At 55.2% G+C, this 24,213-nt stretch overlaps 1 protein-coding gene across 7 annotated transcripts in view, besides 1 other annotated feature; it reads right to left on the bottom strand.

Moving 5' to 3' along the window:
* The window catches only part of HMCN2 (hemicentin 2), a 168,364-nt gene that overhangs the window by 100,770 nt on the left and 43,381 nt on the right, over positions 1–24,213 (bottom strand). For all 7 annotated transcript variants that reach the window (NM_001291815.2, XM_011518466.3, XM_011518465.3 and 4 more), the window contains exons 15-22: positions 23,293–23,442; positions 13,659–13,859; positions 12,903–12,998; positions 12,451–12,578; positions 11,423–11,567; positions 7,647–7,759; positions 7,384–7,543; positions 5,879–6,044 (exon numbers count right to left, since the gene is read on the bottom strand). In NM_001291815.2, coding sequence (NP_001278744.1) covers positions 5,879–6,044; positions 7,384–7,543; positions 7,647–7,759; positions 11,423–11,567; positions 12,451–12,578; positions 12,903–12,998; positions 13,659–13,859; positions 23,293–23,442 — 1,159 coding nt within the window. The remainder of the gene's footprint in view (positions 1–5,878; positions 6,045–7,383; positions 7,544–7,646; positions 7,760–11,422; positions 11,568–12,450; positions 12,579–12,902; positions 12,999–13,658; positions 13,860–23,292; positions 23,443–24,213) is intronic.
* Positions 18,297–18,466: an enhancer, noted in NCBI's record as "active region_29152". NCBI's record gives its function as "activates an Ori minimal core promoter by ATAC-STARR-seq in GM12878 lymphoblastoid cells {active_cell/tissue: GM12878}" and the evidence as "EXISTENCE:reporter gene assay evidence [ECO:0000049][PMID:35858748]".

The following is a 24,213-nucleotide window of genomic DNA, read 5'->3' as shown; positions in this document are numbered from 1 at the left end:
CTGTCTGCCTCATCCCCGGCACACACCTTTGCTGCACTCAGGGAAGCCTTCCCTGCTGCCCCAGGCAATACCCTGCCTCCCATTACATGCTTCCCATGCCACTCTGCAGTTTACCACGCCTGTCATTACGCTGTCTGATGGCTCCGTGAGGGAAGGAGCCAGGTGTGCCCAGGTCCCCGGCATGCCCCAGTTCAGCATGGGCCCTGGCCTGGTCCACAGTAGGTGTTCAATAAATATTTCATGGCAAATTGCATCTGTTCCCTGTCCATGCCACACACTCCCTTCACCGCCTTCATTGACACGGGTCCCTGCTCTCCCTCCCTCCCCCCAGACCTTCCACCATCTCAATACTGCCCTCCTGCCCTCCCCAGACCCCCGCTGTCTCCCACATTGCTGTTTTTGCTGCCTCTGTCTATAAAGCATCCAGGAGCAGGGCCGGCGGCCGTGGAATGAACGGCACTCCCCGCCAGAGTCACCCAGCCTGCTGCACGGCTGGTTCTCAGCACAGAGCGCACAGTCAGGCAACACTCAACAGATGCCCACTATGCACTAGTGGACGCCAGCCCTGTCTGCTGGCCTGGAGAGAACCCCTCCCGGAAACCACTGCCCCAACTCGCGTCTTCTTCCTGTAGCCTGACCAGGATCGCAGACCCGTGAGGAGGCCACATGAGGGAAGGTCATGCTGGAGAAATTCAGGAGGAGGTGCCTGAGACACGCCAAGGGGCCTCAGGTAGGTAGGGGGAGACGGAGCCAGCGCCATCGCACGAGCCCGGAGAGCGTAAGCCCTGCGATGCTGGTGCTGCTAACGAGGATGGTGCTGACGCCAGCCACAGCTGTCAACTATTGAGTGCTTCCTGTGGGTCACTGTGCCGCCAAACACGCTCTCACTTAGAATCCCAACAGCCAGACCTACCAGGCAGGCAGACCCACTACCACACCCCCTTTTGCAGAGGAGAAGACTGAGCCTCCGGAGGTGTGGTCCTGGTGTCCACGGCCACTGAGCTGGCCAGGGCACAGCGAGGACTGGACCCTCACACTGTGCGACCATGCTCCTTCCTAACCGCCATGGTGATCTAAACGTCCGGCTCTGAAGGCGAGGAAACTTAAATGTTCTCCAGAAAGACAGCCACTGCCCACAGGCTGACCAGATGGACTCCAGAGCCACCAGACCAGAAACCAACAAGGGCTTTGAGGATCCACCAAGGTACAGTCCCCATGCAGGGCCCTGGGCAGTCCAGGCACACCACTGGCTTGCAGAGAGCAGTGAGCTGCTTTCCCTGCCACAAGTCACCAGATCCCAGCTGCAGGCCTCACCTCTCACCTCTAATGAGCCGGCCCAGTGGTCCCCTTCCAGGAGAAGGGTGGGTGGGCAGCCTGTCCTGCAGTGTGCTTGGGAAGGGGCAGAGGAGGGTGGTGGGGGTATCAAAGGAAGAAAACCTGGAAGAACGAGATAGAAACGCACCATCCTCTCACTGCCCCCACACCGCGCTGGGATTAGGGATTTGGCCCTGTGTGGAATGCTGGCCGGCTGCCTCCGGGAGCCACAGCCAGAGCCAGGAGTGCTCACAGCCGTCCCATCTCCTCATCGGAATCCCAAACAAACATTGTTGCCTGGAAACACTGCCTCGCCCCAGCATCCCTGGGCTGAATCATGGGACCAGAGCCCCGAGATGCTCTCTGGCCACCATCGCCTGTCCAACCCTTTCATTTCTCAAACTGAAAGGCTGAGGCCCAGGGAGGGGAGAGGGGAAGGGTCTTGTTTGAGGTCACCGGGCGAGCTGGGGTGAAGCTGGGATGGGACCCCAGGTCTTCTGCCACCTGACCTCACACACAGCCCAAGCCCATGTCTTCTGTCTCCGAGGCTGCAACACAATCCTGGGCATAGGATACTGCTCAGTCAATGCTGCTGACTTCAATTTTGAATTTGCAACTTGGATGTCTTTTTCAAAAATAAGTCCCACAGGAAAGAAGCACTCAGTGACCATTCCCACCCTCGGACTTCACCGTTGGCTTCTGGGACCGTCCCGCAAGGAACCGACCCAGGAGATAAAGAGGAACATTGTGCAAAGCTGCTCCAACAGTCCCATTTATGACCGCGAGAGCTGGCAACATGGCCGTGCCCCACACAGAGCAATGACTTAGCGATGATGGGAGCCGAGCGCCCTGGAATGTTACTTTGTCCTTTTTTTTTTTTTTTAAGACAGAGTCTTGCTCTGTTGCAAGGATGGAGTGCGATGGCACGATCTTGGCTCACTGCAACCTTCACCTCCCAGGTTCAAGCGATTCCCCTGCCTCAGCCTCCCGAGAAGCTGGGACTACAGGCGCGCACCACCACGTCCGGCTATTTGTGTGTGTGTGTGTGTGTGTGTGTGTGTGTGTGTGTGTTTCAGTAGAGACAGGGTTTCACCATGTTGGCCAGGATGATCTTGATCTCCTGACCTCGTGATCCGCCTTCCTTGGCTTCCCAAAGTGCTGGGATTACAGGCATGAGCCACCATGACCGGTCTATTTTGCCCTTCAAAAGGAAAAGCAAGTGACGTGGGCCAGAATGAATCGAGAAAATGGGTAAAAGAGAAAAGGAATCCGTGATGAGGACGGAATATAAGATGCACGAGGTTTAATTTTAGAACAGCCCCTACAAGGATAAGAGCCGCTCCAAAGGGACTGGGATGCAGCTGGGCGGCTCAGAACTTCACGGCTTCTGAGGTTCCTAGGATGCTTCCTCTGTGAGCACTTGCTGACTTGGGGGGGTCGAAGATACCTAGGAGTTCAGAGAGCAGTGGCCCACCTGATACGTGTGTCCCTGTGCGTGCGTCTATGTGTGTCTGCGTGTCTGTGCATGTTGGGACCCAGCCCCAAGAGCTGCAGGGTCAGGTTCCACGTCCCCACACCCCATGTGTTTCTGTTTCCTCCTCAGTGCACTGGGCATGGTGCCATCCACCCCAACCACCTACAGGGCGCTGGCAGGAGAGGGCCACCCCTGGACAAGGGGAATGGAGGGGGCCGCAGAGGCTCAGCACATCTTGGCTCTCAGCCCTGACTACACCGCAGAATTCCCCACAGACAGGAGAAGGGGCTGCCGTGGAGCCCTGTCCTTGGGGCAGCTCAGCAGGGAAGAGGAGCAAGGGAGCAGGGGAGGGGGGAGAGGGGCGTGGAGGGCTGCTGGCCCCTGTCAAGAGATGAGCACCTACGACTCACCAGACGCATCAGCCAGGTAAGTGCTCCGTTTTCAGAAGGGCAGCTTTGAGGCTGAGCCTGGGGACATCCTTGGAGAAGGAAGGACAAGGAAGACAAGGGAGAGGGGAAGGGAGGGGAAGGGGAGGAGGAGGGAAAGGGAAGAGGGAGACAGGAGAGGAAGAGGAAGAGGATGTAGGGAAGGGGGGGAGGGGAGGAGGAAGCAGACAGACAGAAAGTCTCACTGTGTGTTTTCCAAGGGGCTTTTTAAGTCTCTGTGTTCTGGTCGAGTCACTGAGGGACGGAGGGGGTGTGGTGTGTCTGTGAGAGGCTGAGTGTGGTTCTGTGTGTGGACACTGCCAGTGTGGGGCAGGGAGGGAACCAGAGGACCCAGAGCCTGCGAACAAAGCTTCAAGTACAATCAAAAGTGAGGCTATGGCCAGGCACAGTGGCTCACGCCTGTAATCCCAGCACTTTGGGAGACCGAGGCGGGTGGACCACCTGAGGCCAGGAGTTCAAGACCAGCCTGACCAAGATGGTGAAACCCCGTCTCTACTAAAAATACAGAAATTAGCTGGGCATGATGGCAGGTGCCTGTAATCCCAGCTACTCGGGAGCCTAAGGCAGGAGAATCAGTTGAACCAGGGAGGCGGAGGTTGCAGTGAGCTGAGATTGCACCACTGCACTCCAGCCTGGCAACAGAGTGAAACTCCATCTCCGAAAAAAAAAAAAAAAAAAAAGTGAGGCTATTCACAGCCACCAAAATGTGGAAACAGCCCCAGTGCACATCAACTGATGAGTGGACACACAAAAGGTGAGCACCCACAGGATGGGACACTATTTGGCCATTAAAAGGAAGCAGGCACTCATCTGGCTACGACATGGATGAACCTGGAAGACATTGAGTTAGGTGACAGAAGCCAGACACGAAAGGCCCCATGTAATTCATTTATATCAAATGTCCAGAATAGGCTGAAAGCAGATCAGTGGCTGTCAGGGGCTGCAGTGGGGCTGGAGCAGAAATGGGGGGCTGGTGGCTGCCAATGAGTATGAAGTTTTTTTGGGAGGGTGATGAACATGTTCTAAAATTGATCATGGTGATGGCTGCACAGTCTGAATATACTAAAAACACTGAACTGTGTCCTTTAAATAAGCGAATGATACAGTATGTGAATTACATCTCAATAAAGGTTTTATATTTAAAAAGCAGGTGACAATTGAGATAACAGGTGTGGTAGGAGGAGGATAAATGTGTAAAAGCTGGAGAGGATGTCTCAGTTTGTGAACAGCAACAGCAGGGAAATCATACGAAAGGGAGCGAGTTTTCAGCACATCTGACTTCCTAAGCACTGCACATCCGTCATTACCCCAAAAGGGTGCTATTTAAATAATGTCCACTTTGCAGATGGAGGAACAGGCCAAGAGGAGCCAGTGGCCACCCGAGGTTGCATGACTAAGAAGGGAGCAGGCAGTTCGGCACCGGGTCTGCGGAACTCCAGGGCCTGAGCACTTAACCCCACCCCCGCCTCCCAGCACATTTTCCCTCCTTATTTAGATAAACTCTCAGAATCTCCCAAATCTGGAGATAAAACAATGTAAGCCAGCACGAAGTGAAGAGGGCAAGGGAGAGGGAACACAACACAACTCTAGGATTGCAAAAGTGGCTTTCGCAAATTTACAGCTCCCAGCTGACCTATTAACGCACCACGGCGAGGAGGGGTGAACTAATGGGAATGCGGTTCCCGTTTCAGTAACAAGCCATAGATCAACACACATCCTCCAGCTGAGGGCCACCACCCAGCCGCGGAGCTAGGACCGGGCTTTCTAGGGGAGCTGTGGGCTCCCACGGCCCCCCGCCACACCCCCACCCTACAACATAGAGCTGCAGCAATGCCAAGAGGGCATGGGGGACCCCACCGATGATGCCCAGGGCCGGCTCCCTGGGTCCCCGCCACCTCTAGGGGTGCCCGGCTGCAAGGATTGGCAGGACTCACCAAACAGATGTTCTGAAATGCACTGACACATGGTGGGGGCGGGGGTCACGTTACAGGGCAGGCTGCTCCGAGACCTTCTGAGTCTGGAACATCTCAAAGACCCTGCCAGGGCTGATGTCACCAGACTGAGCCACAGAACCCCCCAGCCAGGGGCAAGGGCCCTAGCATCCCCCACATCCCCTCCTGGGGGGTACGGCGTGGCTTTGAAGGACACCCAAGCCAGCCTCCTCCCTGTCCGCCCACTCCCAGGATCCCGGACCGGGAGCAGCTGAGTCAGACAGCCCAGCCGCCAGACACCTGGTCTGCAGAGCAGGCATGGGGGTGGTGTGTGTCGTGGCGGGGACGTGGTCCCAGCCCTGGCTTTGCTCTTTCCTAGCTGGGTGATGGCGAGCAGCTCACTCCCTGGCTGAGTGTCAGTGTCCTGTTAGATATCAAGGGTGGCCGTGCAGATTAAATGGGATCCTGCAGGCAATGCCCCGTGCATGTTATTTCAGATGGGGAGTCTCACCCTGGGCTTCCAGGCACCCTCTAGAGGCCCCTTCCAGGCTTCTGGGGCCCTGTGGACAACAGCCTTGTGTGCAGAAGCCCAGGAGCAGCACCCTATGGGAGAGACTGCAGGGTCCAAGACACCCGCTGGGTCACTGGTCACCTGAGGCAGGTTTCCCTCCAGCCCTAAGCTCTGTCCCTTGAGGCCATGGGACTGGGGTTACCTGTTGGTGATGGGCGGTACAGGGCGGGAGTCCTTCGTCCAGGTGACCAGTGGGGGTGGGGAGCCCTTGGCCTCGCAGTCCAGGGTCACCTCTTCGCCAGCCTTCGCTGTGACTTGCAGAGGCACATCTGCATTACGTGACCCGTTCATATGGATCCTGGGTTTGGCTGCGGGGAGAGTAAGCAGGGCCTGTCAGCAGGGCAGAGGGGACTAGGGTCCATGAGCGCCCTGGGCCATGGGGCAGCTCCCCCAGGAGGCAGAGCCGGTACTGCACCCTCGACCTTCAGGAGGTCCAGAAGGTGGATATGGCTGTCAGAAGGGGGGGAGTCCAGATTGGAGGTGGGACTCAGGTCCCAGGGTTTTCACTCAGTCCTCCCCTACCCACCTCCCCACCACCACCTTGCTCTGAGGACCCTGACCCGGTCCCTCCTGCCCTACGGTCTGTGCCTTCTCTGGCTTCTCTTCATCCTGCTGTCCCTTCCCCAGGGACATTCTGAAAGGCTCTGAACTCCTCCTCTCTCTCTACCTTCTCCCCTTGCTCATTCACTTATTCCCATGATATCAGCCACCAAAGAATGCACAGACCCTCCCTCTGGACCTCTCGAAGCCTGGTGAGGGATTGATGGCAATCTGTGCATGTCACGTCTCTCTCACCTTAAGCTGAAGACCCTTCGTCGGCAGAAACAGCATGGTACCCTTCCTTCCTCCCCGCTCCCCGCCTCCGCCTTTCTACCTTGGAGTTCATACAAGGAAGGCACTCGCTACCTGTCTGAGCAGCAACAATGAAAGAAGCTAGCCAGTTGGGGACATCAAAACCCATCTAGCCCTCCCGTGTTCCCCGTACATTTGTAGTTCAAAGGAAATGCTCCCCCATTAGGAATTTTTTTTTTTTTACAATATAAAAATATTGACTGTAAGGGTCTATGAGAGAAAAAGCCTGGCTTATACATTTGCTCACTCCTCCCAGACGTATTTACTGAGCGCCAGCCCTATGGGGAATGCTGCGGACGGCAGCGAAGGAGACAGGTCCCGCCCCATCTTCACAGCCTTTAGGGTCCTTTGGCAATAGTGGTACCAAAAAGCTCACTGTGTGATTAATTATTGAATCATAGCTGTGACGGGTGCCAGGAAGGGGATATTCCACAGTTTACAGCAAGGTGACTTGACCAGCCTGGGGGAACAGGGAGAGCTGAGATCTGACAGATGGGAGCAGTCAGCTGGGCCCAGAGGTGGGGGAACAGCATTCCAAGCAGAAGGAACTACATGTGCACAAGCCCTGAGGCAGGTTGGACCATTCCAGAAACAGAAAGGAGACCAGAGGGTCTGGGGCAGAGAGAGGCGGGGAGAGGGCTGCTGGGGACGCGGGTCCTGTGCAGAGCCACGTGTCTTTGCAGGACTTGCTGATGCAACAGCTTCCCTGCCTCAGGCTCCACAGGGCTGACGTGGGACTCTCTGTCTCCACAGCCACTGAGCCCCCTCTCCCAGGACAGGGTTGGCATCACTCACTGTTGACAGAAAGTCGCATCTCCTGGCTAGAAAAGCCCACGGTGTTGGTGGCCGTGCAGACGTAGGCCCCTGCGTCCTGGGCAGACGGCTGGGCGATGAGCAGGGTGCCCTCCTTACTCACATTGTAGTGGGGACCTCTGGAGGTCAGGGCATTGGTTTCCTAGGGCAGAGGCACAGGTGACATCGGCGAAGCCCACACCTCCGCCCCATGACACACTGGGCCTACCTCTCCAGTTATCCTCTCGGTAACAGGCACTGCTTACCTTGGTCCACGTGATGGTGGGGGCGGGAACTCCTGAAGCGACGCAGGGAAGAGAGGCCGCAACCCCTTCATTGGTGATATGGTGGGTGGCAGTGGGATGGATTCTAGGTGGCACTGTTATAAATAAACCAATGTCAAAGCCAAGGCTCATTGCAGCATCATTCACAGTGGCCAAAAGGTAGAAACAGCCCAAATGTCCATCAGCGATGCATGGGCACACAGCATGCGGTGTGTGCACACAACAGAAGAGTATTCATCCTTAAAAAGGAAGGCAATTAATTCCAGCTATATGACATTCTGGAAAAGGCAAAGCAGTCGGACATGGTGGCTCATGCCTGTAATCCCAGCACTTTGGGAGGCTGAGGCGGGAGAATCACTTGAGGTCAGGAGTTCGAGACCAGCCTGGCCAACTTGGTGAAACTCCGCCTCTACTAAAAATACAAAAATTAGCTGTGCATGGTGGTGCATGCCTTGTAATCCCAGCTACTCGGGAGGCTGAGGCAGGAGAATTGCTTGAACTGGAAGGCGGAGGTTGCAGTGAGCAGAGATTGCACAACTGTACTTCAGCCTGGGAGACATAGTGAGACTCTTGTCTACAAAAAAAAAAAAAAAGAAGAAGAAGAAGAAGAAGAAAAGACAAAACTAGATCAGTGGTTGCCAGGTTGGGGGAGGAAGCGATGAAGAGGCAGAGCCCAGAGGATTTTTAGGGCAGTGAAGCTACTCCAGGTGATATTGCAGTGATGGGTCACTGCATTTGTCCAAACCCACAAAATAAACAACACCAAGGCTGGGTGCAGTGGCTCACACCTGTAATCCCAGCACTTTGGAGGCCAAGGTGGGCGGATCACCAGAGATCAGGAGTTCGAGACCACCTTGGCCAACAGGGTGAAACCCTGTCTCTACTAAAAATACAAAAATTAGACCGGTACAGTGGCGGGCGCCTGCAGTCCCAGCTACCCAGGAGGCTGAGGCAGGAGAATTACTTGAACCCGGGAGGTGGAGGTTGCAGTGAGCTGGGATTGCGCCACTGCACTCCAGCCTGGGCCATAGAGTGAGACTCCATCTCAAAAAAAATAAAAAATTAAAAAACCACTAAGAGGGAACCCATCTAAAATAAAAATAAAAAATAAAACAAATAAACACCACCAAGAGGGAACCCCAATGTAAACTATGGGATTTGGAGTGATGATGACGTGTCTTCAGTGCTAACAACGGGCCGCCCTGGTGGGGGATGTTGACAGTGAAGAAGGCTGCGCGTGGCGGGAGCCAGGGTTATGTGGGAAATCTCTGTACCTTCCGCTGAGTTTTTCTATAAACTTAAACTGCTCTTAAAAGTCCAGTCTGTTTTTTTAAAAGGAATAAAATTCTGACACATGCTACACCATGGATGAACCTTAAAAACATGCTAAGTGAAATCACAGACATAGGAGGACAAATACTGTAAGATTCCACTTCTATGAAGTCCCTAGATACGCAAGTTCATAGAGATAGGAGGCAGAAGGGTGGCTCCCAGGGGGCTGAGGGGAGACGGGAATGGGGAGCTAATGTTTAATGAGGACAGAGTTTCAGTTTAGGATGATGAGAAAGTCCTGGAGATGGATAGCGGTGATAGTGTGAAATGTGAATGTACCAACACCACTGCACACCTAAACATCGTCAAATGATACACGTTATGTTATGTATATTTGACAATTTTAAAAGCTTTCAGGCCAGGCACGGTGGCTCATGCCTGTAATCCCAGCACTTGGGGAGGCTGAGGCAGGTGGATCACCTGAGGTCAGGAGTTTGAGACCAGCCTGGCCAACATGGTGAAACTCGTCTCTACTAAAAATACAAAAATTAGCCGGGCATGGTGGCACATGCCTGTAATCCCAGCTACTCAGGAGGCTGAGGCAGGAGAATCGCTTGAACCCGGGAAGTGGAGGTGGCAGTGAGCCAAGATCATGCCACTGCACTCCAGCCTGGGCAACAGAGTGACTGCGTCTCAGAAATAAATAAGTAAAATAAAAAAAAAAAAAGCTTTCAATGGGAGAATAAAACTGGAACAATCCCTGAGCCACCACTGCCTGCCATCGTCAGTTTTTTTGTCTTCCCCATACAGAAGGCAGCATGTGCTTGGGAACCAGCTGCGCTGATTCATTGCTCTGGGGCTCTGGATAAGCCACTTAATCTTTTGGTACCCATATTCCCTGATCAGCACAAAAGCTAATTTAACCCCAGTTCCCTGGTCGTCCCTTCTGGAATGGATAGATGAGCAGTGTTTGCAGAACACAGTGAGCTTAAAAACAGGTGTCACACCCACCCTGGGCACCACTCAGATTCGCAGGCTTGAACACGGGGTCTCTAAGGGGAGCGAGAGAGGGGTAACTAGGCATGGAGAAGCCAGGAGAGGAATCCAGAAGCCAGGGGCTCTCACGCTAGCACTTGGAGCTCCTTTAGGGAGGAAAATGGACTTCTGGACTCCCAGGTCGCCACAGCCAGCAGAGGCCCATAAATATTTGCTGAATAGAAATGAACTGAGCCAAGAGAGACTGAGCCTGTTCATGTTAGCCCCACAGAAGCGGCTGTGAGGGCACAGTGGGAAGTTAGGGGGTGAAACTGAGTGGAATCATATATAGAAACTAGCAGATGCCTGGCATGTGGTACACACTCCACCCTGGATGGCGATTTGGATCTGGAATTATGAGGGGATGGCACCTAGAATTGCACCTGAGCGCTCAACCCAGCCCTTCTGAACTTTGCACTCCCCTATAAAATGGGGAACGCGCGTTCTTCCCACTAATCCCTTGGGGGCTTTATGAAACAAACAAGAAAAAAGACGATATTAACATACTTGGTAAATCACAAAATACAACCAAATTTAATTTGAAATGTCTCATCTTACATTAAAAAGCACAGTGGTTCCAGTTGGGTGAATAAAAGAACCCAGTGCTGTGGGCAGGAGAGCAGTTGGGCAAGACACTAAAAATTCCAAAAACGTACAATCTCTGTGATGCAAAACTTAATCCACATTAATGGGTTTATCCTAAGGAAAGAATTGGTCACGTAGGTACGTGGTCACCTACAATGTGTAGGTACGAGGCTGTTCATACCCGGGGTGTGGGGGATGCGGTTGGGCGGGGGGAGTACAGATAATCAGGTAATTAGATAATCAGGGGACATGATCATCCCCTTATTAAACTGATGCCTCTGAATCTTAATTGACAGAAAACAGAACAGCCATAACACCTTGTCATGGAAACACTTAGGTGCCAAGACAATGACAGCATGTGATCCTATTTGGTTTTTAAATAGGTTTGTAAACAGGTAGATAGATTAGATGGATAGATAGATAGATAGACAGATGGATAGATAGATAGATAGATGGATAGATAGATAGATAGATAGATTAGATAGATAGATGATAGATAATTTTTATGTAATTTATAAGAACATACAAAGAATCTGTATGTAAAATGTATAAAGAATATATATTCTATGTATACATAGTGTATATATATACTACACATAGGTGTGTGTGATATACATATAGAGAGTGTGTGTGTATAGAGTATGAAAAGATACATGCCAAAATGCAAAATCTGGTTATTCTTAGCTACTGGTATTATGAGAGTATTTTTTTAACTTGTCAAATCCCTAATTTTCCCACAGAGAATATATATGATTTGCACGATTTTTTAAAGCAAATGCATTCAAGATCAAGTTACCTCTGCACATTCCCCCACCCCATCATGTTCCCTGCCCCACGACCACCACCTCCGAGACCCCAGGACTCACCCTGGACCACCAGCTCCACGTCCCGGTGCTGAGAGCCGGCCGTGTTGGTGGCCACACAGCTGTACCTCCCCGCGTGCTCCTGCAATGCTCGGTCAAGGTGGAGGCTGCCGTCTGCTCGGATGGAATGCCGGCTGCCAGGTGGGAGCTGGTGGGGGTGAGGAAGCACCAGCTTAGCCTTGGGCCTCACTCAGAGGCAGCTGAGAAAGAACCCTCGGGAAACTATGCTGCTCATCAGGCCAGTAGGGAGCAGCCAGGACTGAGAGCCCGGGGGCTCAGAGAAGGCTGAGGAGCTCTGTGAGTCCTTCCCGAGTGCCCAGTCAAGCCCTCCAGAGACCCTGCAGGGCTGGGTGGGCCTGACCCCTACATACCCTGACCCCACCTCTCCCTCGGCCAACTGGACCAGGGTGAGCCTGACCCAAGCTGGGCCCACGAGAGTCTCTCCTGGGAATGCAGAGTTGGGAAGGCACCTCTTTGCAGCCTGCAGGACACAGGGACCTGGTGTGTCTGAGACCAGGCAGAAGAATTGAGGAAAGGGAAGAGGTAATGAAAGAGTCAATAGGAGAGGGCAAACAGAAGAACACCAAGAAAATCAAATGGACGTGAACTGGTTGATAAGGCAACCACTGTGCGTTCAGCGCGCGCCGGTGTCTGGGGCAGATAGGAAACCGCACAGCTCACATCCCTGCTCTGGAATCATAAGAACCGGGGAGACCACTGCATTGAGACTGGGCCTCCACTAAATCCCTGCTCCCTGGCTCACAGCACTCCTGAGGCACACGATTGCCCTGCAGAGCTCCCAGGGGTCCAGCAGCCATGACCCATCTGACAGCCGGCGGGACTTTAGAGGGCAACAAACACCATCAGTGCATTATCAGAGAAGGTTCTGAAATGGGGCCAAAAAGAGGGTGGAAGGAAGAGGACACTCCCAGGCGGGGAAACAGCCAAGCAGAGATAGAGACGTGGCTGTGACAGCCTCCTTCTTCCCCAGGTGCCACCGCCCACCGCACCCAGAGGAGCCCGACACTCACGGGCCGGCCGTCCTTGAGCCAGTGCCTTTCCGGGAGGGGCCGCCCAGCTAGGACGATGCAGGGCAGGGACACGGGCTGCCCCTCCAGGACCCGGACGGTGGGGGCGCTGCTGGCGATCTGTGGCGGGGCTGTGGGGAGAGGAGCCGGTGTCAGCCACAATAGGTGCCCTGGGTGGTTGTCTGGGGGACAGAGGCTCCTGCTCCCCTCTCCCTCCCCAGGGAACTGAGAGATGCATCAGAATTGGGGATCCTAAAGGGTCACAGGACCCCCAGGACATTGTCCAGGACGCAGGGGCACAGGTGCTGCTCTTGGAGAATTTGGCTGTGGATTCGTTTGTTCCAACAGATGGGCCAGGAGAGGCTCCCTGGAGGCGCCCACGGCCTTGCTGTGCCCCCGGGGAGCACCTGCCTCCCACCTCCCACCTCCCACGGCCCTCAGATCCACCAGCGAACCGTGACCAGTGACGATGAGCCGGGCCTCAGCCTGGACCTTCCCAAAGACGTTTCGAGCTTCACAGACATATGGGGCCTGGTCTTCTGGGGCCACACCTGAGGGGCACGAGAGAGGCAGGTGTGACTGCCAAGGCACACCACAGCTGCAGCCCCCATGGGCTCCAGCTCCCCAGGTGCAGAGACAGCCCCTTGGCATGGCCTGGCCTTACAGAGGTTCAGGAGGGAAGGCTGGGATGGTAGAGAGGGAAGGGGTGAGGGACACCGCTGGACCTTGGAAGGTGAGAAAGCCTCAGTTTGCTCATCTGTGGAATGGGGGTAATTGGCCTGTACCTTGTAGTAGTGTGATGGGGCAGGGTTGACAAAGTGCCCGCCCTTGGGCCTGGCGTGTAGTAAAGAGTGGGTGGTAGGGTAGGCGCAGTAGTAATTATGGTAATCATAGTAGCTTATATGTGTGTGACAGCATGTGGCAAGAACTGTGCTAAGCACTTTGTACAGATTATCCACACAACAGCCCCATAAAGTGGCTGCTAATCAGCCAGGTGGGTAGTAGATTTCATGGTCGTGATTATGAACAGGGTCAGAGTAGTGGAATGACTTGGCCAGAGCCACCCAGCCAAAGTGTGACCGCGTATCAGCCTCTGCTCTATGGTCAGTGCTGGCGGTCAGGGTCCTGCTCTCGGCCACCTGGCCTGGGGTTTAGGGTGTCAGAGGCCATCCTGTCTCCCTGCCCACCCCCCACCAGCCCCAATCTCTTACTTTCAAAGAACAGCACTCCCGAATCCGGCTGCCGAGACCTACTGCCTCGCCCGGCCCCCAGCCTGAGTCCCAGAGGCTGGCCATCTCCGCGGCGCCAGGTGACCGTCGGGGGCGGGCGGCCTGTTGCCCGGCATGCCAAGAGGGCACTCCTCCCCAGTTCCACAGTGACATCCCGGGGCAGCTCCGTCAGCTGGGGCGCATCTGCAGGGAGGTGACCAGTCAACCATGCCCGGAGGCTGGACCTGCTCAGCGGCAGGTCCCCAAGGAACTGCCTCCCTCTCCTCCTCCTGTACTATTGCCCTTGTGAACCTAGGGCTCGACTCCTGTCCAGGGCTCCAGGGTCAACCTGTGCTGAGTGGCATCCACCCCTGGAGAGCTCTTGGGATGAGGCAGAGGGAGTGACTCGTGGGATGGTGCGTGGGGTCTCAGGGGCCTGGCTTTACCCCAGAGGTGCAGGGGAGGGAGCAGCATGCCCACTCCTGGCTGTGACACCTCCCAGGAAGCCCCTCCAAGGGGCTCTAAGGAGTGTTTCTCAGTCTGATTGTGACCCGCTGACATAGGAGCTGAGGGTGAGCCTTCATTTCTACCCCTGCCTACCCTCCCCTACCCCTCGCCTCCTCCTGGGCCAGAGAGGCTTTCTCTTGGAGGTGTCCTGAGCTCCCCTCTGATGCTTAAGCCCCTGGCCTAAGCCAGGCCCACTTCTGTGGAGGGGAGCATGGCCTGGGGGGCCTGGCGGGACTCAGCTGCCATTTCCACAGCCCCTTCTATTGCCGCCCCCGCAAACAGCCAGCGTCGGGGGGGATTATAGGTCTTCTTCACCCTCTTCTCTAGAGCTTGCCCTGTTGGCTGAACTTTTTTGGAAAGAGCAGACAGAATTAAAACTTGCTTGTTATAAATAACGTGACCTTATACATTAGGGTCTGAACTGGGCCACTCAAGAGTGAATAGGGGTTGCATTAATAGTGACCCCAGGACGACTGGCTAAACAAGGGCTGTCCTGGAAACCAGGAGTTATAAGACATTCTAATAATACACAAAGGGCAGAGATTCCCCTAATTCTTGCTCCACACACCCCAAATCCCACGCCCTTCCCTAAGGTAACCACTGTTAATAGCTTGCAGTGTTTCTTCCAAATCATTTTCCTAAGCATCATTTGACTTTTATAATCAGGAGAAGAAAAAAAGAAGTTATTTCCCAAAACAGAAACTCAAGATCCTGTCTCTCCTTCAGCAGGCCAGGAGCCAGTCCGAGCCAAGTGGGTCCAGGTCCTTCCCTCGGCAGCCTCTGGGCACCATCCTCAGGTCCTTGTCCCAGGCCCCTGCAGCAGGGAAGTCCCTGGCCTTTTTATTTTAACCCTTTGAGTCTGATACCATGGAAAAGCCTCTACCTCTTTGTTCTTTCCATCTGTCTCCAGAAATACCCTTCATCCATCCAAATCATGACATCAAATTTCCCTCCTGGCCTCAGGGATTAGGGAAGTTCCAGGCAGATATAAACACAAGTTGGAAAATTACTGCGAGTAGGAAGACTGTCTTGGACCCAACCTCAGACACCACCCTTTCTCACTGGGGCCTGGCAGCCGCCGAAGCTCAGAATCCCAGCATCCCAGAATCCCAGAAAGCCTTTCCTTGGGCCCGCCCTACACAAGGTCACTGTTCCTGCAGAGCCCTGGCCCCCAGGGGTGCAGCTTTGCCATACCTCACCTACCTGGAGCAGAACACCACAACAGCCTACCTTCCCCAGCTGCACCCAGCCCAGCCGCAGAGCCCAGCTGCAGCCTCCCACTCCAAGAATGCCTCTGATTCCTCTCCTCCCAGACCGCTTTCAATTCCCTGCCCTCCTTAGCCCCAAACAGCGCTGCTTTGTCTCCTGACTCTGGTTTGTTTGTGTTTTTTTTGTTTGTTTGTTTTGAGACAGAGTCTCGCTCTGTCGCCCAGGCTGGAGTGCAGTGGCGCAATCTCGGCTCCCTGCGACCTCTGCCTCCCAGGTTCGACATGGGGAAACCCCGTCTCTACTAAAAAATATATATATAAATTAGCCAGGCATGGTGTTAGGCACCTGTAATCCCAGCTACCCAGGAGGCTGAAGCAGGAGAATCGCTTGAACCCAGGAGGCAGAGGTTGGAGGGAGCCGAGATAGCACCACTGCACTCCAGCCTGAGTGACAGAGCAAGACTCTGTCTACAAAAAAGAGAGAGAGAGAGAGAGAGAGAGAGAGAGAGAGAGAGATGGTGGGGTCTCGCTATCATCTAGGCTGGAGCACAGTGGCACAATCATAGCTCACTGCAGCCTCGAGGCTCAAGTGTAAAGGGTACCATTTGGCATCCCTAAGTGACAGGCATGAAGACGAGCACTTATTGTAACCATAATTTCACTCATGGCTCAATGAACTCATAAGTGGATATCATCACAATCCCCATCTCACAGATGAGGAAACTAAAAGTCGGAGAGATGAAGGAACCTGCCCAAGGTCACAGCTTGAAGCCAGTGGCAGGGCTAAGATCAGAGCCCTGGTCTGTCCAATGCTAAAGCCCAGGCTCTCAACCACCCCACCCCTGCTTCCCCCTCAGCACCTGGTGGCTGCCCCAGCCAGAGCTGCACTCACCCCCTCCATCTTCTTGCAAGAGAGCCAAATCCCAGACTCATTGCTGTGCCCTGGACCCACGCAGACAACTGTGACTCCATGGGTCTGTGCAGCCATCCCTCCCCCTGCTAACCTGGAGCCCCCCAAATAAGGCAGGAGCCCAGGACCCTCATAGGCCAGAGCTGAAGGCCCTCTGGTCTGCCCCTCATTGTACATGTGGGAGGCTGAGGCCCCACGTCCTGCTGAGGTCAGGGGAGAGGCCGGATTCCCAGCCCAGTGCTCTGCCCAGGGCCTTATCTCTGCTTTCTGGCTCCCAGGCCCCTCCTCACACAGACTCCCAGGTGACCCTCTGCTGTGACCCAGGGAGGACAGCGAGCTGGTTCCATGGCCACCGTGGCTCCACAGGAATGACCCTTTCTGCCTTAGCCACAGTCAGTTTTCTGGGGCGGGAGCTACAAGCATCCAGAGACAGGTGATGTTGTCAGCAGCTCTGGAGACTCCTGGAGGAGCCTCTTGTCAGCTGACGGCTGCAGCTGCCTGTTTGTGGGGATGGGGCTCTAAGTGGGGGAGCCTAGAACACCCGGAAATGTGCCTGGTGAAAGGGGCCTGCCACCAGCCTGGGATGGGGCGAGGGGACAGGAGGGGCTGCCGCCTGCAGGGGTGCCCCGTCCTTTTTTTCCTGCTCTGCCTCCCTCCCCCACCCACACATCTGGGACTTCAGCCACGCCCAGGGCAGCACCCCCACCCCCATCTTTCTCCAGCCCAGACCTTCCACTGAGCTCCCTACCCCTGTGTCCATCTGCCCCTAGACACCTCCACAACTCCCCAGCCCTCAACACAGTGCCTCCCGGCTCAGCACCACCCACCACCGCAGGGTACAGTCCCTGACGCTGCTTCCTTTGTCGCACTCCTGGCAGTGACGGGGTGGCAAGTCCTCCTCGGCCTCATTCCATCCACTTCTCACTGAGTTCAGTCATGGCAGTGGCCCCTGGCTGCTCTCCCTGCCTTTCACGCTGCCTCTGAACCACCCTCGGTGGTGCAGCAGAGGGGACTTCCCAGGGCACAGGCTGGACCGTGGCTTTGCCTGCCTGAGCCCTGTCTGCTACGGGCTGAACTGTGTCCCCCACAAACCCATATGTTGAAGCCTGAGCCCCAGTGTGATGGTATTGGAGATGGGGCTTCTGAGAGGTGATGGAGGTTGGGTAAGTCATGAGAGTGAGGCCCCTACCATGGGGATTAGTGTCCTTTTAAGAAGAGATGCCAGGGAGCGTCCTTCCTCTCTCCACCCATAGGTCCCAAGGAAAGGCCACGAGAGGACCTGAGAGAAGGCAGAGGCTGCCAGCCAGGAAGAGAACCCTGGCAGAACCCAGCCAGGCCAGCAGCCTGATGGTCGGCTTCCAGCCTCCAGAGCTGTGAGGAGTGTCTACTGTTTAAGCTCCCTGGTCTATGGTATTTCATCATGGCAACCTGAGCTGACCAGGATACTGTCCCTGGCTCCCGAGGATGGCAGGGCAGAGTCCAGGCGATGGAAAGGCTCAGATGCCCTACCAGCCCAGTGTGGCTGCTGCCTCCAGCCTCAACCCCCAACTCACTTGGCTCACATTTGTAGAGAACCCTAGTGCCACCCAGCCCTGGGGTACAAGGATCTGGCCAGCAACAGGCAGGGCCATCCCTCCAAGCTTGGCATATAATTGGTGCATAGGGACAGAGGGAAGAGAGGGGAAGGAAAGGAAGGGAGGGGAGGGGGAGGGGAGAGGGAGGGGAGTGGGAAGGGAGGGGGAGGGCAGAGGGAGGAGGGAGGGGAGGGAGGGGAGGGGGAGGGGAGGGAGGGGAAGGAGGGGAGGGGAAGGGGAGGGGAAGGGGAGGGGAAGGGGAGGGGAGGGGAGGGGAGGGGAGGGAGGGGAGGGGAGGGAGGGGAGGGAGGGAGGAAGGGAGGAAGGAGCTCGTCTAGGGCAGGTTCAAAGGGAAGGGGTAACTAACTTCCTGCTTGCAGGTGAGGCTGCTGACCCCCTGCAGGAGGCGCTCTCAGAGCTGCTGAGGGTGAGAGCACAGACCCAGCTGGTCAGGCCACGCTCCCCTCCCAGGGATTTTCCAAGGGAAAGGCCCTGGTGAAGTCAGATGACAGAGGTGGTGACTCCCCTGCGCCTGCTGCTCCCCCAGCGAAAGGGACACTGGCCTGAAGGCCCCCACTCTGCCTCTGCCTCACTGGGCATGCAGGAATGAGTCCCATCCTCACTCTGGGCCTCAGTTTATCCATCTGGAAGGCGGTAACTCTATTTTCACCTTGGTCCTGGTACCTTACAGCTCTAGGACTCCTTATCACTGCCTGGAGAGTCCACACCCCAGCCTCTGCCTCCCACCCAGGGCTGTGGCTCAGAGCACGGGGGCAGGGCTGGGGGTTGCAGCCAGCTCCAGAAGAGCCCCCTGAGACTCAGTTTGCCAGGAGGAGGGAGGAGTCTCAGGATGGAAGACTGTGCAGATGGGCAAAGTGGACCCCGGGGAGGGGTCTCCACAGCCCCCTTTCCTGAGGACTCGGGGACCACTTTTCCCACAGAGGGAATGCTGCGATTGGGCCTAGGGTGGCAGCTCTGCTGGTCAGGGCCACAAGATGCCTTTACTCCTCTTCCTCCATAAAGAAACATGGAAAATTATATTTCATAACTGCACTGGCACAAAGACATGAATGATGCAGGCTGGATTAGTCTTTATCTATTCACTATTGGTCATTTTTTAATTCTGATTTTAAAAGAAATCAAAATTAGAAAAGCATCCTGGACCCCTACAAGTGCAGGGCCTTCTGCCAGTGCCTGCTATGCCTGATGGAGAAGTCGCCTCGCCATGGCCCCCTCGCCACAGAGCCCAGCCCATTTCTCCCCAACTCCCCTCCCCAAAGGATGGCCGGAGAGTCTTTAGTGTCCAAAACAGCACATCTCCTGTTCCCCAGCTCGGCCCCCGGCAACCAGGAGCTTCCAGGATGGGACTAAGAAGCAGGGACTGAAATGAGAGGACAGAAAGAGGAGGCATATCCATTTAGTCTGGGAGCACTGGCTCATGCCTGTAATCCCAGCACTTTGGGAGCCCAAGGTAGGTGGATCATCTGAGGTCGGGAGTTCGAGACCAGCCTGGCCAACATGGAGAAACTCTATCTCTACAAAAAATACAAAAATCAGCCGGGAATGGTGGTGCGTGTCTGTAATCCCAGCTACTTGGGAGGCTGAGGCAAGAGGATCACTTGCACCCGGGAGGCAGAGGTTACAGTGAGCCAAGATCGTGCCACTGCACTACAGTCTGGGTGACAGAATAGGACTCCATCTCAAAAAAAAAAAAAAAAAAAAAAAGAGGACACACATTCATTTAGAGAGGAATGAAGTAAAGCACAGACCACAGCTCAGGGCACTGAACTCAGGAGGGGTTGCCACACACAGTCAGGCAACCAGCCATGTGACGAGTCGCCCCACCTCACCGAGCGCTGGTCAGCTCACCCAGCCTGGACACAGGTTTATGGGGGGGGGTGCCCACATGCATTATTTATTCCACGCAAGCCCTAAGTGAAGCACATTCTCAGGAAACCTCTCGAGGGCCCTATGAGCACAGCTCTGCTACCACCCTCCTCGTTTCACAGACGAGGAAAGTGAGGCTCCGAGAGGCAAATAATGCAGGCAAATACCAGCGGACCTGGGCATGGAGCCTAGGACTCCTGACTGGCAGATGCCAGGCTCGGAAGGTAATCCACCAGTGCCTCGCAGGCTGGTCCACAAGTGCAGGCCCTCCTGGCACAGAGGAGTAGGATGCCTCCCTTCCTATGCCCCAGACACTACCAGGAAGCCAGCTCTCAGCTCAACAGCAGGAAGCGGGCACAGTACACACCCATTCCTGACCTCTGCCAGTCTGGCCAGGAAGGCTGGACGACAGCTGCCACCCAGATAGGCAGGAAATTCCATTTCCCACCACCGCTGCCAGACCAGCTCACCCCAGACCCACAGGTGCTGGGCCATTGTCCATCCCTTCCCTGACCTAAAGTTAAGGCCAGAGGCCACCAGTGGCCCAGAAAGAAACTCTGCCACAGGGACATGGCTCCAAGGTCAACAGCAGACAGGCGAAGGAACAGGTCTAGGTGGACACTCAGCCTGGATCCCAAAGAAATGAGACTCTGGGCCAGGCACAGTGGCTCATGCCTATAATCCCAGCACTTTGGGAGGCCGAGGCGGGTAGATCACCTGAGGTCAGGAGTTCAGCCTGAACAACATGGTGAAACCCCATCTCTACTAAAATTACAAAAATTAGCTGGGCATGGTGACGCACGCCTCTAATCCCAGCTACTCAGGAGGCTGAGGTGGGAGAATCACTTGAACCTAGGAGGTAGAGGTTGCAGTGAGCCGAGATTGCGCCTGGGCACTCCAGCCTGGGCAACAGAGCGAGACTCCATAAAAGAAAGAAGGAAAGAAAGAAAGAAAGGAAGGGAGGGAGGGAGGAAGGGAAAGAAAGAGAGAGACAGAGAAAGAAAGAAAGAAAGAAAGAAAGAAAGAAAGAAAGAAAGAAAGAAAGAAAGAAAGAAAGAAAGAAAGAAAGAAAGGAGGGAGGGAGGGAGGGAGGGAGGGAGGGAGGGACAGAAAGAAAGAGAGAGAGAGAAAGAAAGGAAATAAATAAATAAATATGGGTCTGCTTCAAATAAGTCAGATGCTGAGCAAAGGATGACAATGCCCATCACAACACAAGGTACACCCTCCCTGGAGCACCCTATCTGCTCACCCAGAACCTCTAATACCAGTGTCAGCAGCTGGATCACAGCTCACGTGCCACAGACCTTCCTTCTCTCTTGCTCACACAACGTCTCATTTTGGCAATGAGGAGCCCAAGGCTTGCAGACGTAAGCAGCGCCAGGCCCACTCTGCTGGTGAGCATCAGACTCAAGGCCAGGGGCTATAGGTGCAAGACCCTTGGTTCAGATCCCACCTCTGCCACTCGCCAGCTGTGTGATCTTGGGCAAGACATGAAACCTCTCTGTGCCTTGTTTTCCCTATCTGTAAAGGGGATGATGATCGTTCCATCTCCAAGGGTTGTTGTGAGGGTTACATGAGCCAGCAACAAAATGTGCTCTGAGCTGGTGCCAGCACCTGGCAAACACCCTAGAAGCGCCGGCTCGTGTTTCCGTGGCTGTCCTTATCAGGCTCCTGAGCCCATGGCCCAGCCCAGCCTACCTGAGAACCCAGCCACAGTGGAAAAGTCTGAGCACACGACCCTCCTCCTGAAAACCTCTCACCAACCCCCTCAGGGCACAGCCCAAACTCCTCCGCAGCTCCCCAGGCGGGGAGTGACTGGTACCAGGTGGCAGCCGTCCTGCTGCCCCCTCCCCACCCTCTCTCTGCCTCACTTCTCTTGTCACGGGGAGGGCTGCACGTGCTATTCCCTTTGTCTGGAACACTGTTCCCCAGCTCGTCATCTTTCTGGGTGCTTCTGGTTTCAGTTTAGACATCACCTCCTCCAAGAAGTCTTCCTGGGATTAGCCTTCTCTGGGCACCCACAGCCCCTGAGGATGCACCTTCCAGCCACTCGGTGCCCTGTGCATGCTCATTCCCTGTCCTCTGTTCTCTCTGCCTGAGCTCATGAGCAACACAAAGGTTGATGCTGTGTCTCACCTGCCCTGTGTCCCCAGCACAGGGCCTGGCACACGAGCACCTGGTGACCCTGTGTTGAAGGAATGAAAGACGGAACAAGTGAACGAAGGCTAAGAGCACCCCAAGCCTGAGAGGATCTCAACCCTGAGACAGCACAACCCCCCCAGGCCAGACCCTCCTATCTATGCCTACTCCAGTCAGAGCCTGGCCCGCCTTGGGAGCTCCTCGGCTGCCCCAGCCAGCCCTGGCCCAGCCTGGCCCATTCAGCCCAGACCAGCACATTCTCGATTCTCTGCGCTTCCCTAGAACTCTAGCACCTGCCTCTCTCGCCGTGGCCTCGGCAAACACTCAGAGCCTGATCTGTCCCAGCTCTGTGTGCCAAGGAGCTGTGCCCACAGCTTCCGAGCAAGTCCCAGTGCCAGGAACTCCAATATGGGATGGAGACATCCCGGAAGTCACAGCTGAGGCCATGCACTGGCCACCAAGGAATTTGGACTCCACATCTGCAGCAAGTGAATGATCACCCCTCTCCCCGCATTTACTAAGCAATCACTATGGGCCCAACCCTGTGCTAACAGGCCTGATTTCACTGAATCCTCACAGCAACCCAAGGAGGGGAGTAGTACAGTCAGCCTCACTTTACACATGGGAAACTGAGAGAAACTGAGGCTCCATGGCATGACCAAGGCATATAGGTGGGGACAGAGACGAGACTGGAATTCTCATCCCGAGCTGAACCAAACTGTCTGCGGTGGGCCTCCAAGCTGGTCCCAGAGATCCCCGCCTCCTCGTGTTCACACCCATGGGTAGCCCCCACCTCCTCGTGTTCACACCCATGGGTAGCCCCCGCCTCCTGGTGTTCACACCCATGGGTAGCCCCCGCCTCCTGGTGTTCACATCCCTGGGTAGCCCCTCCCACACACACTGCACCAGGGTTGCTCTGTGGGACCAAAAGAATAGGGCAGAAGCGATGGCTTGTTACTTCCAAGACTGTGGCTTCCCTCTGAGATTGTCTCTCTCTCTCTTTCTCTGGGAGCCTCCTGCCAACAGCCCCACGAGTGAGCCTAGAGTGGATCCCCTAGGCCCAGGCAAACCTTGAGATGACTGCGGCCCTAGCCAAGATATTGATTTCAATCTCAGGATGGACCCTGAGCCAGAATCACCCGGCCAAGCCACTTTCAGATTCTTGATCCTCAGACTGTGAAATAAATACTTATTGTTTAAGCCACACAATTTGGGGGCTATTTGTTACCCAGCAAGAGCTGATGCATGCACCGCCTCCCCTGGACTTCCCCTGTCCCCACATGCTCAGGATCCACATGATGCCATCTACACTGGCCACTTGTGTGAGAGAGCTTCCCCTCCCTACTCAGAAGCAGGCAGAGGGCTGGGAAAGGGGAATGGGCAGGGGAGGGGGAGACAAGGTATACACTCACGTCCAACCGCCAGCTGGATTTCTGCAGAGGCGTCACCCAACTCATTGACAGCCCGGCAGGTGTAGGTGCCAGCATCCCTCTCCTGAGCCGCCGGGATCCGCAGCTTCCCAGAGCTGGAGCCCTCAGGGGCCAGGATCATTTCAAGACCCCCTGGACCAAAGAGGAAGAAGCATCAGGCCGGTGTCCCTGGTACCATGGAGGCCAGGGTGGGAGGTGGGAGCCTGACCCTTGGCTCCTGCGGCTGCACAAGGTTGGGGCCTGGGAGATGGTGGGTGGAAGCAGGTTTAAGCCCCAAGGTCAGGACCCCTGGGTCCAGTCCTGCAGGGGGCTTGGGCCTTCCCTCTGTTGAACAGGGTTGGGGCTAAGCCAGGCTCTGCATGACAAGGCTCATCATCCAAGAACTCCATGTTTGGACCCCCCCCGCTGGTGTCCACTCCTCCACCCCAGGTCCAGGCTGAGATCTGGGTCAGCTCTGGGAGGGCTCTGGGGAGCCCTGAGCCCGCCATCATTTTTCTTTTTTTTCCTTTTTTTTTTTTTTTTTTTTTTTGAGACAGAGTCTTCCTCTGTTGCCTAGGCTGGAGTGCTGTGGCATGATCTTGGCTCACTGCAACCTCTACCTCCCAGGTTCAAGCGATTATCCTACTTCAGCCTACCAAGTATCTGGGATTATAGGCACACACCACCACACTCAGCTAATTTTTTATATTTTTGGTGGAGACAGGGTTTCACCATGTTGGCCAGGCTGGTCTCGACCTCCTGACCTCAGGTGATCTGCCCACCTCGGGCTCCCAAAGTGTTGGGATTACAGGCGTGAGTCACCACGCCTGCCCCCCAGCCCGCCATTTTTCTTGCCTGACTTCTCTCCGCCCCTGAGGCCTGATGGACACACCTGATTCTAACCGCCCTTTTAAATTTAATTTA

The sequence above is a fragment of the Homo sapiens genome, chromosome 9 (genome assembly GCF_000001405.40).
Source record: "Homo sapiens chromosome 9, GRCh38.p14 Primary Assembly".
NCBI lineage: Eukaryota > Metazoa > Chordata > Mammalia > Primates > Hominidae > Homo > Homo sapiens.
Note: the sequence above shows the minus strand (reverse complement) of the source record. Positions and strands in the feature narration are given on the sequence as shown.